The sequence below is a fragment of the Homo sapiens genome, chromosome 12, assembly GCF_000001405.40.
Source record: "Homo sapiens chromosome 12, GRCh38.p14 Primary Assembly".
In the NCBI taxonomy this organism is placed as follows: domain Eukaryota; kingdom Metazoa; phylum Chordata; class Mammalia; order Primates; family Hominidae; genus Homo; species Homo sapiens.
In genome coordinates this window covers 34,260,673-34,275,110 of record NC_000012.12, presented here as the reverse complement: position 1 = coordinate 34,275,110, position 14,438 = coordinate 34,260,673, and the positions used below count along the sequence as shown (strand labels likewise).

At 46.6% G+C, this 14,438-nt stretch overlaps 1 annotated feature.

The window, feature by feature from the left end:
* Positions 824–1,455: an enhancer, noted in NCBI's record as "OCT4-NANOG hESC enhancer chr12:34426591-34427222 (GRCh37/hg19 assembly coordinates)". NCBI's record gives its function as "activates a minimal SCP1, AML or CMV promoter by ChIP-STARR-seq in naive H9 embryonic stem cells {active_cell/tissue: H9 hESC(naive)}" and the evidence as "EXISTENCE:reporter gene assay evidence [ECO:0000049][PMID:30033119]".

The window sequence follows — 14,438 nt, the reverse complement described above, 5'->3', positions numbered from 1 at the left end:
CCAGCAGAGGCACTTTTGTTCTCACAGAATCCTGGGATGGAAAGTTCTCAGCAGGCTTCAGCCTCCTAGCTGAACAGCTGAAACCACTACTAGGAGGTTTTTCAAAGAGCCAGTGGTTCCTCAAGGGGCTGTGGGTAGTTTTGGAAATGGAGAGAAGTGTTTGGAGATCCATATTTAAGACAGAATGGACAGGGCTCAGTCACGAGTCATTTAGGACACGGGGAGTTACAGATAGAGAGAACCCTCCTAGCATCATAGGTGAACAGACGTACGATTTATCGAGACAGTAAGTGTAGGTCACAGCTGAGGCAATGGAGAAGCAAATCCAGATTTTAGGGTTGGATCTTTATTAATATGCAATATCTATGAGGTATCTGAGCCCAGAAATAACACACCAGTTCTGTACAGGATTCTGCATGGAAATCAAATCTGGGGTTTCTAAAGTTAAGAATTCAGCCTTGGTAATAGATTAGGTTAAATTAGATCTACCTGAGTCTATTTTAGAAAAAGGACAGGGAGGGAGAGAATAAGACAGAGAGAGAAAGATACAGAGAGAGACAGGCAGAGAGAGACAAAGACACAAAAAAGAAAGAAAAAGAGAGAGACACAGAAAAATAAAGAGACAGAGAGACAGATGGACAGACAAAGAGACTGACAGAGAGAGACAGAGACAGAAAGAGAGACAGAGAGAGAGACACACGGATAAAGAGAGAGAGAATGACAGAAGACAGTGAGACACAGACTGAGAGAAACAGAGACAGGAAGAGAGAGAGAGAGAGAGAAACAGACAGAGGGAGAGAGACAGACAAAGAGAGAGATAGACAGATGGACAAAGAGATAGACAAAGAAAGTTTCATAGACGTCTGTGTGAAGAGACCACCAAACAGGCTTTGTGTGAGCAACATGCCTGTTTATTTCACCTGGGTGCAGGCCGGCAGAGTCCAAAAAGAGAGTCAGCAAAGGGAGATAGGGGTGGGGCCATTTTATAAGATTTGAGTAGGTAAAGGAAAATTACAGTCAAAGTGGAGTTGTTCTCTGGTGGGCAGAGTGGGGGTCACAAGGTGCTCAGTGGGGGAGTTTTTGAGCCAGAATGAGCCAGGAAAAGGACTTTCACAAGGTGATGTCATCACTTAAGGCAAGGACGGGCCATTTTCACTTCTTTTGTGGTGGAATATCATCAGTTAAGGCAAGGACCGGCCATTTACACTTCTTTTGTTGTGGAATGTCATCATTTAAGGCAGGGCAGGGCATATTCACTTCTTTTGTGATTCTTCAGTTACTTCAGGCCATCTGGGCGTATACATGCAAGTCACAGGGGATGCGATGGCTTGATTTGGGCTCAAAGGCCTGACATTCCTGCCTTCTTATATTAATAAGAAAAATAAAATAGTGTTGAAGTGTTGGGGCAGTGAAAATTTTTGGGGGGTGGTATGGAGAGAGAGAATGGGTGATGTTTCTCAGGGCTGCTTCAAGCGGTATTAGGGGTGGCATGGGAACCTAGAGTGGGAGAGATTAAGCTGAAGGGAGATCTTGTGGTAAGGGGTGATATTGTGGGGTTGTTAGAAGAAACATTTGTCGTATAAAATGATTGGTGATGGCCTGGATACAGTTTTGGATGAATTGAGAAACTAAATGGAAGATACAAGGTCCGAATAAAAGAAGGAGAAAAATGGGTATTAAAGGACTAAGAATTGGGAGGACCCAGGACATGCAATTAGAGAGTGCCCAAGGGGATTCAGCGTAATTACTTGCTTGGTTGGCAAGTTTTTGGTCTCTTTCCTTGAGTTTTTTTATGTTGTCATACACCAGGCCAGGTTGTTTTAGGTAAAAACAACAGTCTTCATTTAAGAATATACACAGTCCTCCTTTTTCAGCAGTGAGTAAGTCAAGGCCTCAGCGGTTTTGGAGGACAACTGCAGCTAAAGAGTCAACTTTAGCCTGGAGGACTGATAAAGTTTGTGGCACATCTGTGATGCTAGCAGAGAAGTCATTAGACAGGCTACGGAAGGTCGTGACAGAGGTTGAAATGACTGCTATTCCAGTACCGAGAGCAACAGTGGAGGCAGAAAGTCCTAAACCAACCATCAAGGAAATTAGTGGAATAACCCTTTTTTGTCATGTCGGTGTCATGAGGGGAACAGGGAGCTCTTCAGTCCCACTGGCAAATTGAATTTTGGGGGTAAGGAAAACTAGTGTGCATGTGCCTGTCCAATTAGCAGGTAGACACATGTAGGTAGAGGATCCACAGAGGAAGAAGAGACCTTGTGTGAGGCAAAACTGGAGATGTAAAGTAAAAAAGTGAAAAGGAGTGCTGAAAGGGGTGTCTTGTACCCAGACTCCTAGGGATCCAGCTAGGGCGGCAGCTGTCAGAGGTTGTAATGGGGACTGATGGGGTAACTGCATAGAGGAGGATGTTCAATTTTCATGATGTACGAGAAAACGTTGATTATCTATGAGCAACCTTTCACTGTTATTTTGGGGGCTGGGTATAAGTAAACAAGAAGAGGGCCTGGGAGGAGAGTCTGATGAGCAAGGGGAAGGTAGCCAAGGATGGAGTGAAATACAGGGTAAGTGTCTTCCTAAGCAACAATTACTGCTAATGTTTTTGAGTTTGTCAGTATTGACAGAGGGCTTGTCTGTAATATGGAGCTGGAAGGCTCCAATTGTTTCAGTGATGTGTGTAGTTGGGCTTTGGAGATAAAGAGTAAAGGAACATCAAGAAGGTGAAATATTACCTAGGGGAATTCCAGTGGGTCTTTGCCAAGAGATACATAAAGGAGCAGCAACAGGAATAATAGTTTGTGTTGTGAGAGGTCCAAATATGGGGGGAGTAGAGTTAATATAAGGAGAAAGGTTTTTTAAATAAGTGCGGAGGAGGGCGGCAGCTTGCTGATGTGAAATGTCTGGGAAAGTCTTGCTGGACCTGTCTAGAAAGTAAATGAGTTCCTTAGGAGGGTAAAGGTGAGGGCTGTTAAAGGAAGTTCAGAGGTGTAAGGAGACAGGAGATGTAGCCCAGTCTGTCTGTAAGGCAGGGACAGCTATGTAGGCACTGGAAGAAAGGGAAATGCAAAGCCAGCAGTTGTTCACTAAGGAGGGATTAGAAGCAGCTAGGAGAGAATGGGTAAGGTTGATAGTGTGGTGGAGATAGCTGGGGAGAGGCAAAAGGTGGCATAAGAATGGGAATGAGAATAAGAGAGAGTATAAAAGTAAAGAATAGAACTTCATCAGGGTGGAAGTATTGGAGGGTGCCCTGCCAGCAAAGATCATCTACCCACTCTAAGAGGGAATTAAGAGTGGCGGTTTGGGGATAGCACCAAGAGATATCAGCTGTGATGGCTTGAAGAAACAGTGTAAACCAGCAGTGTAAACAAGAGTACGGCATTTATAAGTAGTTGAGAGCAGAGAATAGGAGTATGACTGGACAGAAAATAGTAGGGATGACAAGATTTTTTGGGCTCAGCCTAAGTGGTGGGGGTGAGTTCATAAAGCCCTGTTGCAAAAAGTAGGGCAAGGACAAACAGACCTAATAGAATGAAGGGATGTATTAGGCTCATAAGGGTTATTACTGTTCTTCAGAAATACGAGTGAGTTTAAGGGAAGTAGGGGAGAGTAATTGCGACTTCCAGGAGGAAGAGGAGGGATTAGGCTGGCTGTCCAATGGACACAGCTTTATTCTGGAATGGTGAACCCAGTGGGGAGGATCCTGCAGGCGGACGGCAGTCAGGGTACTATAGATGACTAAGTAGGGTCCAGTCCATCGAGGTTGTAGAGTTTGAGGGGTCAGATTCTTAACAAGAACTGATCGTCCAGCTAGAGTGTCTTCATATGGCTGGGGATCTGGAGTAGGCAAGAGAAGATTAGCAGCCTGGTGACTTTCCTGCCTAGCCTGTTGGAGGACTGGAAGATAGTCGCCTAGAGGGCTGGTGTCTGGGATGAGGTTGGGACCAAGCAAGAAAGTGCGTCCATATAAAAGTTCAAATGGACTGTACCCTGTAGCATCTCGAGGACAGGTTCTAATTCTGAGAAGGGCGAGAGGTAAAAGTACTGTCCAATCCTTTTTAAGTTGGAGGCTGAGCTTGGTGAGGTGTGTCTTTAAAAGACCATTAGTCGGTTTTACCTTTCCTGAAGATTGAGGATGTTAAGGGATATGAAGGTTCCACTGAATACCAAGAGCCTGAGAAACTGCTTGGGTGATTTAACTAGTAAAGGCTGGTCCGTTATCAGACTGTATAGAGAAGGGAAGGCCAAACCAAGGAATTATGTCTGACAGAAGGGAAGAAATGACCGCGGTGGCCTTCTCAGACTCTATGGGAAAGGCCTCTACCCACCCAGTGAAAGTGTCTACCCAGACTAAGAGATATTTTAGTTTTCTGACCCGAGGCATGTGAGTAAAGTCAATTTGCCAGTCCTGGGCAGGGGCAAATCCCCAAGCTTTATGTGTAGGAAAGGGAGGAGGCCTGAACAATCCCTGAGGGGTAGCAGAATAGCAGATGGAACACTGAGAAGTGATCTCCTTGAGGATAGATTTCCATGATGGAAAGGAAATGAGAGGTCCTAAGAGACAGGCTAGTGGCTTGTAACCTACATGGAAAAGGTTATGAAATGACGACAGAATAGAATGGGCCTGTGAGGCTGGAAGGAGATATTTTCCTTGGTCTAAGAACCATTTACCTTGCGGGGGAAGAGCTTGATAGGTGGAAGTTTCAGCTGTGGAGTAGGTGGGAGTGACGGATGTGAAGGAGAAAAACTGGCCATGAGGGACAAAAGTTGGAGAGCTAGCTGCTTGTCTAGCCACCTTATCAGCATAAGCATTGCCTAGAGCAATGGGATCTGAAGTCTTTTGATGCCCCTTGCAGTGAATGACCCCAGCTTCCTTTGGAAGTAAAGCAGCCTTGAGCAGAGTTTTCTTAAAGAGGCATTAATGATGGAGGACACTTGTGTAGTGAGGAAACCTCTTTCAGCCCATATGACCGCATGGTGGTGCAGAATATGAAAGGCATATTTAGAATCAGTATAGATATTGACACGTAGTCCTTTTGCAAGAGTGAGGGCTTGAATTAAGGCAACTAGTTCATAGCATATCCTGCCTTTGCTGGTGAGTGGCGATTAGGCCTGGTGGAACTGCCATCAATAAACCAAGTGTGATCAGGGTGAGAAACAGGGCAGAAGGAAATGTGGGGAAATGGGGTGAACGTCAGGTGGATCAGAGAGATGCAGTCATGAGGGTCAGGTATGGTATCCAGAATAATGTGGGAGGCCGGATTGAAGTCCAGGCCAGGAATAATGGTAATTGTGGGAGAATAAATGGAGTGAGTATATCTGAAGGAGCCGGGGAGCAGAAAGTATATGTGTCAGGTGTGAGGAAGAAAATAGATTTTGGAAATTATGAGAGCTGTAGAGAATAAGTTGAGCATAGTTTGTGATTTTGAGGGCCTCTAAAAGTATTAGGGTGGCAGCAGACGCTGCATGGAGACATGATGGCCAGCCTAAAACAGTAAGGTCAAGTTGTTTGGACAAAAAGGCTACAGGATGCGATCCCGGTCCTTGTGTAAGAATTCTGACTGCACAGCCCTGCACTTCAGCTGTGTGTAATGAAAAGTGTTGGGATGAGTCAGGGAGAGCTAGAGTGGAGACAGTCTCTAAAGCTGTCTTCAAGGAATGGAAAGAGGAGTGGGGAAACGATTTAGGATCTATGGGGTCAACTAGGTTTCCTTTTGTGAGTTTATATAATGGTTTTGTTAGGATGGCAAAACCAGGTATCCTAACACGAAAGTATCCAACCATGCCTAGGATGGAAAAGAGTTGTTGTTTTGTAGAAGGGGTTGGGGTTTGAGAGATCAGTCAGACACTATCAGCAGGGAGGGCACGTGTGTTTTTATGAAGAATTATGCCAAGGTAGGTAACGGATGGAGAAGAAATTTGAGCTTTGGAGGGGGATATCCTTTGGAGAATAAATGCTGAAGGAGCAGAAGTGTGTCTTGTTGAGAAGATTCAAAGGAGGGGCTACAAAGAAGAACATCACCAATATATTGAATAAGGTGAGAAGTGGAGGGGTGGAAAGAAAGTAAATCATGAGAAAGAGCTTGGCTGAAATAATAAGGGCTGCCCCTGAAACCTTGCAGCATTACAGCCCAGGTAAGCTGCTGGGACTGATGGGTGTCAGGGTCAGTCCAGGTGAAAACGAAGAGAGGCTGGGTTGAAGGGTGTAAAGGGATAGTAAAGAAAGCATGTTTGAGATCTAGAACAGAATAATGGGTTGTAGAGGGAGGTATTGAGGATAGGAGAGTATATGGGTTCAGCACCACAGGGTGGATAGGGAAAACAATTTCATTGATAAGACACAGATCCTGAACCTGTAAGGCTTGTCTGGTTCTAGGACAGGTAAAATGGGGGAATTGTAAGGAGAGTTTATAGGCTTTAAAAGGCCATGCTCTAGCAGGCGAGTGATAACAGGTTTTAATCCTTTTAAAGCATGCTGTGGGATGGGATCTTGGCATTGAGCCGGGTAAGAGTGATTAGGTTTTAATGAGATGGTAAGGGGTGCATGATTGGTCACCAAGGAGGGAATAGAGGTATCTTATACTTGTGGGTTAAGGTTGGGGGATACAAGAAGATGCAAAGGAGGCTTTGGATTGGGAAGAAGGGCAGCAATGAGATGTAGCTGTAGTCCAGGAATAGTCAGGGAAGCAGATAATTTAGTTGAAGTGTCTCGGCCTCATAAGGGAACTGGGCAAGTGGGGATAACTAAAAAGGAGTGCTTAAAAGAGTATTGTCTAAGTTGGTACTAGAGTTGGGGAGTTTTAAGAGGTTTAGAAGCCTGGCCGTCAATACCCACAACAGTTATGGAGGCAAAGGAAACAGGCCCTTGAAAAGAAGGTAATGTGCAGTGGGTAGCCTCCATATTGATTAAGAAGGGGACAGACTTACCCTCCACTGTGAGAGTTACCTGGAGCATCTGTGATGGTCCTGTAGGCTTCCGAGGCGATCTGGCAGTGTCAGTCTTCAGCTGCTAAGCCAAGAAGATCTCAGAAGGGGTCAGTCAGAGAGCCTTGGGCTAGAGTTCCAGGGGCTCTGGAAGTGGCTGCCAGGTGAGTTGAACAGTCTGATTTTTAGTGGGGTCCCACAGAGATGGGATACAGCTTAGGAGGAATCCTGGTCTGTGGGCATTCCTTGGCCCAGTGGCCAGATTTCTGGCACTTGTAGCAAGCTCCTGGGGGAGAAGGTTCTGGAGGAACCCCTGGCACCTGAGGTTGAGGCATTTCGAAGTTCTTGTGTGCTGGAGATGTGTCTGGGGTTTGTCTCACAGTGGAGGCAATGAATTGCAACTTTTTTCTATTATTGTACACCTTGAAGGTGAGGTTAATTAAATCCTGTTGTGGGGTTTGAGGGCCAGAATTTAATTTTTGGAGTTTTATTTAATGTTTGGAGCAGATTGGGTAATAAAATGTATATTGAGGATAAGACGGCCTTTTGACCTTTTAGGGTCTAAGGCTGTAAAGCGTCTCAGGGTTGCTGCCGAATGAGCCATGAACTGGGCTGGGTTTTTTGTATTTGATGAAAAAGAGTCTAAATGCTAACTGATTTGGGAGAGGTCAGATAAAGAAAAAGGAGCATTAACCTTGACTATGTCTTTAGCTCCAGCCAACTTTTTAAGAGGAAATTGCTGGGCAGGTGGGGGAGGGCTAGTCACGGAATGAAACTGTAAGCCAGACTGAGTGTGAGGAGGGGAGGTGATAAAAGGATTATAGGGTGGAGGAGTGGAGGCTGAGGAAGAATTGGGACCTAGCTCAGCCTGGTGAGGAGGGGAGAGGTCAGATGGGTCTGTAGAAAAGGAAGATTAGAAAGACTCAGCAATGCTTGGGGTTGGGACTCAGAGGGCAGGTGGGAGGGAAAGAAGGAAGATTTGGGATGAGTTGCATTGGGCACAGAGACTAGGAAGGGAGTGATATGTAAACGAATGCCTGGATGTCAGACACCTCAGACCGTTTGCCTATTTTACGACAAGAATTATTTAGATCTTGCAGGATGGAAAAATTGAAAGTCCCATTTTCTGGCTCTTTGGAACTACTGTCGAGTTTGTATTGGGGTTAAGCAGCATTGCAGAAGAAAATAAGGCATTTAGGTTTTAGGTCAGGTGTGAGTTGAAGAGGTTTTAAGTTTTTGAGAACACAGGCTAAGGGAGAAGGAGGAATGGAGGGTGGAAAGTTGTCCATAGTGAAGGAAGCAAGCCCAGAGAAAAGAGAGAGTAGAGACACAGAGGGAGGGGTTTCGGGGGTTCTTACCCTCCAGAAAAGCGGGAAAGAGGTCGGGGCACAGAAATAAGGGGTTGGGGTGCAGAGATAAGAGGTTGGGGCACAGAAATAAGGGATTGGGGTGCAGAGATAAGAGGTTGGGGCACGGAAATAAGGGATTAGGGTGCAGAGATAAGAGGTCAGGGCATGCAAATAAGGGATTGGAGGTTCTTGCCCCCCTAGAAAAGCGGGACTTGATGCTAAGGGTGAAGGAGAAGGGGTTGAAGGGTTCTTGCCCCTGCCCCAGAAAAGCAGAGAAGGGGTAGAGACATGGAGAGAAGGGGTTGGGGTACTTGCCCCTCTCCCAGAAAAGCGGGACTTGCCGCTAAGGGTGAAGGACCAAGGCAGATGTCCCTGCGTGGTCTGACACCTCTGAAACCTGGGTGAATAATCAGAGAGGCATCCCTGCAATGATTAAACACCAAGGGAAGGCTGCTTCCCTAATCAGTGACTGGCGCCGGAGTTTGGGGTCCATGGATAAGATGTGTCTCCTTTGTCTCTACCAGAAAATGAAAGGAATTGAAATTAAGAGAAGGGAGAGATTGAAGTGTGGCGCCAAGATTGAAAGGAGAAAGAGGTTAAAGGATAGTGAGGGAGGTTGGAGAAGAGAGTAAAAAGAGGCCGCTTACCAGATTTGAAATTGGTGAGATGTTCCTTGGGCTGGTGGGTCTGAGGACTAGAGGTCATAGGTGGATCCTTTTCACGGAGCAAAGAGCAGGAGGACAGGGGATTGATCTCCCAAGGGAGGTCCCCCAATCCGAGTCAAGGCACCAAATTTCATGTGCATCCATGTGACGAGACCACCAAACAGGCTTTGTGTGAGCAACATGGCTGTTTATTTCACCTGGGTACAGGTGGGCTGAGTCCAAAAAGAGAGTCAGCGAAGGGAGATAGGGGTGGGGCCATTTTATAAGATTTGGGTAGGTAAAGGAAAATTACAGTCAAAGGGGAGTTGTTCTCTGGCGGGCAGAGTGGGGGTCACAAGGTGCTCAGTGGGGGAGATTTTTGAGCCAGGATGAGCCAGGAAAAGGACTTTCACAAGGTAATGTCATCACTTAAAGCAAGGACGGGCCATTTTCACTTCTTTTGTGGTGGAATATCATCAGTTAAGGCAAGGACTAGCCATTTGCATTTCTTTTGTGGTGGAATGTCATCAGTTAAGGCGGGGCAGGGCATATTCACTTTTGTGATTCTTCAGTTACTTCAGGCCATCTGGGCATATACATGCAAGTCACAGGGGATGTGATGGCTTGGCATGGGCTCAGAGGCCTGACAGAAAGAAACAGAGTGAGAGAGACAGAGAGAGATAGAGACACAGAGAGAGAGACAGAGACAGAGAGAGGAAGAGGAAGAGGAAGGGGATACTCAAAAAATAATTACACATATTTTATAATGCTTTGATGCCATAAATGGTGGCCAGAGTATGCTTTGAAAACAACAACATCAAAAACAACAGTGGCAGCAGCAGCACTCACGGATTTCTAGAAAATAAGATGTTATCAGCTATGGTGTAAATCAACCGGTTCTCACTAAACTTTCAGGGATTCACAAAAGCACTAGTTAACAACAGAAGAAAACAGCAGCTAACATGTCCTGGGGAAAATATATGTCTTCCTAAAAATTGGTGATTTTTACTTCTCCTGAAAATACATAAATAAGAAAAAAGAAAGACACAAACAAAGCAAAATAAAACAAGCAAATAAACACGGGCCAAAGCATCGTCTCTGAAAATCTTAAATGAGCAAAACGCTTTTTAGAAAGCGTTTCTATTTTGGGCAAATACTAATAAGGCCCAGGGTAGAGCTGTGACGCCCTTTCCATTTTGAAAATATCCTGGCCTGTGGGAGAAGAAAATAAAACAACTTGATAAAAGGTGATTGAGACCCAGCCAGGATGATGCTTTCCTAGGGAGGGAGGCCTGAGGAGCGAAAGGGGAAAAGACCCAAACTGCAGTCCGGCCAGCCTGCCCGCTTGCCTAGGCAGGTCAAGGTCTAGGCCATCGGCCCAAGCTGCCTCTGGGGAAGTGGGACCATGCCACCTCCAACTTCAAAAACGGTGGCCAATGAGTGAGGCCTAACGACCACCAATGCAATTGTCAGCCTGGAGAGACTGAGATCACTGGTGAGGGGTGGGTGAAGGGGAGAGAAGATGGAGGCACACCCGGGTGGCTCCGGAACTTTCCAAGCAGGGTGCCGGGAGGCAGGGTGGTTGGGGGAAACCCATCTAACACTAAATTAAGGTAAAGGAGCATGGGGGGCCGAGGGATGACTTAAAAATTAAAGTGACCCCTCATAAAGCCAAAGTGGAAGAGCCTATTTGCATTAAAGAAACTAACACAGGAAGAAAAGAAAAATAAAGTGCTGATAAAAAAAAAAAAAACAATGGGGGCCCCCCCGCCAGGGCAGAGGTTCCCTAGGCAACGAGGGAAAGAGGGAGGGACCTCCAGAAGGGAAGGAGAGAAACCAGTTGCCCCAGGCTAGGTGAAGTCGGCCAGACCTCCCTCCGTGCCACCTTGACTTTCAATAACAGTGGCCGCCAGATGATGCCCGAAGACAACCGATGCTTGCAAGTGTCAGTCAGCAAGGAAAAGAAGCAAACGACCTGCGTCACTCTGGGTTGGGGTGGAGTTTGGGGACGGGGGGTGGCGGAGGCCCACCGCGTTGGGGCCTCTTCCGGATCCCTCTCAGACCTGGGCCATTTCTGGGCCCAGGAAGTCCTCTCAGGTGATGCCCCCGACTAGTTGACAAGAGCCCCCAGGGGACACAGCCTACGTTTCTGCCCGTGGGATCGTCTGGAACTTCCATTCCCCCAGAGAGAAAAGAGGACCACTGGGGGCCTGGGTGTGTGAACGAAGTGATGAGACTCTGTCTGTAGAAAAAATTTAAAAATGATCTGGGCACAGTGGCACGTGCCTGTGGTCCCAGGTACTCTACTCTGGAGGCTGAGGAGGAATGATCGCTTGAGCTAAGGTGTATCCAGGCTGCAGTGAGTGATCTATGATGGCATCGCTGCACTCCAGCCAGGATGACAGAGTGAGATGCTGTCTCTAAATCAATCAATCAATCAATCAATCAATCAAATCACTGAAAAGAACTCTCTTTTTCTTACTTTCAACGGATGTCTCTTTAGGCCAGGTGGGCATGGTGGCTCACCCCAGTAATCCTAGCACGTTGGGAGGCCAAGGCCGGAGGATTAAAAAAGAAAGAAAAAGGTGGGGGGAGGTGTATCTCCTTCACTGGTGACTAAAAGTACACAAACCCAACAAGGAAGGAACGTGTGTAAGATTCAGTAAACGCATCCTGTTTTCTTAAATTACCGTACAGAATTGTCATGTTAAAGATGAGTGGGGCTGGGGCGGGGGGAGGTGGCTCACGCCTGTAATCCCAGAACTTTGGGAGGCTGAAGCCGGTGGATCCTGAGGCCAAGAGTTCAAGACCAGCCTGGCCAAGATGGTGAAACCAAGTCTCTACTAAAAATACAAAAATTAGCCAGGCACAGAGGTGGGAGCCTGTAATCCCTGCTACTGGAGAGGCTGAGGCAGGAGACTCACTTGAACCAGGAAGGTGGAGGTTGCAGTGTGCCAAGATCATGACACTGCCCTCTAGCCTGGACGAAAGAACAAGACTCCGTCTCCAAAAAAAATGAATTTGTTATTTAAAAAAAAAAAAAAAAAAAAAAGGAGGAGTGGACCAGCCTGGACAACATGGCAAAACCCCCTTCGTCTCTACTAAAAATGCAAACAAATATCAGCCACGCGTGGTGGCACGCACCTGTGAAGGACACTTATGGAAGCTGAGGCATGAGAATCACTTGAGTCTGGGAGGCGGAGGTAGCAGCGAGCCTAAATGGAGCCACGGCACTCTAGCCTGGGTGACAGAGTGAGACCCCGTCTCAAAAAAAGAAAGATGAGGCCGGGCACGGTGGCTCACGCCTGTAGTCCTAGCACTTTCAGAGGCTGAGGCAGGTGGATCTCAAGGTCAGGAGTTCGAGACTGCCCTGAGCAATATGGCGAAATCTTGTCTCTTCCAAAAATACAAAAAGTAGCTAGGCTTGTTGGTGCACTCCTATAGTCCCAGCTGCTCGGGTGTCTGAGGCAGGAGATTTGCTTGAATCTGGGAGGCAGAGGTTGCATTTAGCCGAGTTCAGGCCACTGCACTCCAGCCTGGGTGACAGAGGGAGACTGCGTCTCAAAAAAGAAAAAAGAATGATGGAAAATATATATATCAGAGTTGGTAAATGGGTACATCCAGTGTGAGATGCACATGGGTGGTGGCCAAGCTTGAATTGCAGTTTCTTTTCTTTTCTTTTCCTTTTTAGCTCTGTCGCCAGGCTGGAGTGCTGTGGCGGGATCCCAGCTCACTGCAATCTTTGGCTGCCTGGTTCAAGCGATTCTCCTGCCTCAGCCCCCCGAGTAGATGAAATTACAGGCACTCGCCACCACGCCCAGCTAATTTTTGTATTTTTATTTATTTATTTATTTATTTATTTATTTATTTATTTATTTTAAGAGTCTCACTCTGTCACCCAGGGTGGAGTGCAAATGGCACAGTCTCAGCTCACCGCAACCTCCACCTCCCAGGTTCAAGCGATTCTCCGTCTTCAGCTTCTCTATTAGCTTGGACTACAGGCGCATGCCACCACACCTGGGTAATTTTTGTATTTTTAGTAGAGACGGGGTTTCACTATGTTGGCCAGGCTGGTCTCGAACTCCTGACCTCGTGATCTGCCCACCTCAGCCTCCCAAAGTGCTGGGATTACAGGCATGAGCCACCACTCCTGGCTAATTTTTGTATTTTTAGTAAAGACAGAGTTTCACCATGTTGGCCAGGATGGTCTTGATCTCCTGACCTCGTGATCTGCTCGCCTTTGGTTCTCTTCTTTTCTTTTCTCTTCTTTTCCTTTCTTTTCTTTTTTCTCTCTCTTTCTTTCTTCCTTTTTTCTTTCTTTCTTTTCTTTCTTTCTCACAGGATTGCCCAGGTTACAGTGGGTCACGGCTGACTGCAGCTTCAACCATTCAGGCCTCAAGTGATCTCCTTATCTCAGCCTCCCGAGTAGCTGGGACTACTGGCATGCACCACCATGCCTAGCTAATCTTTTAATTATTTTCATTATTATTATTTTGAGACAGGGTCTCATTCTGTCACCTAGGCTGGAGTGCCATGACACAATCTCAGCTCACTGCAACCTCCACCTCCTAAGTTCAAGCAACTCACCACCCCCAGCCACCTGAGTTTTTGCCATGTTGGCCATGGCTGGTCTCGAACTCCTGACCTTAAGTGAATCCACCCACCTTGGCCTCCTAATGTGCTGGGATTACAGGCATGAGCCACTGCACCTAACTGAATTTTATTCACTCTATCTCATATATACTCAAAGAATTTTTTTGGAAGTCAATGCTAGCATAATCCCCATTGTGCATATTTCAGGGCTGGGGAGACCTGAAACACACAATGACTTTTATATCATCACAGAAATGAGAAGAAAAAGAATGTTCTAACCCAGCTCTGTTCCCTCAAACCTGGAGCCCTGGCTGCATTTAGATGTTTTCAGGGGGCAAGGGGCTTGCGTTTGTATAATTGTTTACAGGTGAAGAGTTGACATGGGAGAGGAGGATGAGTAATCAGCAGCTGTGCCGGGCCTTTGCATACATTTATGGAAGAAAAGGGATCAGAGGATGATGGAACCTTGAAGAATTAACACACTTCTCTTGTGACAGTACCTGACAAAATTTAGAGCTTTGAAAACCAGACACCCACATTCTAGAGACAGCCTTGTACCTGGCTCATTTCATGGGAGATGCTTAAGAGAACACTATGTTCTTATGGTGACATTCCTAAGCTTTTGCCTTAGAAAGGTCCAAAGTGGCCTAATAATATAGACATTGGCTCAGCCCTCATCACTGATGCCTCTGTCCGTTTGGCAAGAGGCACCCACAGGTAACACAGTGTAGCCCAGGGCAGGTCTGACCATGCCAGGTCTCTCTTGTCATCTAATCTGGGAAACCCCACCTGGCCCACCATAACCATTTGTTGCAGGGGGAGCAGGAAAGAAGGGGGCTATCCCTGACAGGGGCAGGTTGTCAGGTGCTGGAACTCTGGTGGGCCTGTCATGTTCACACCCAGGTCATGGCTGGTTGAATAAAAAGTT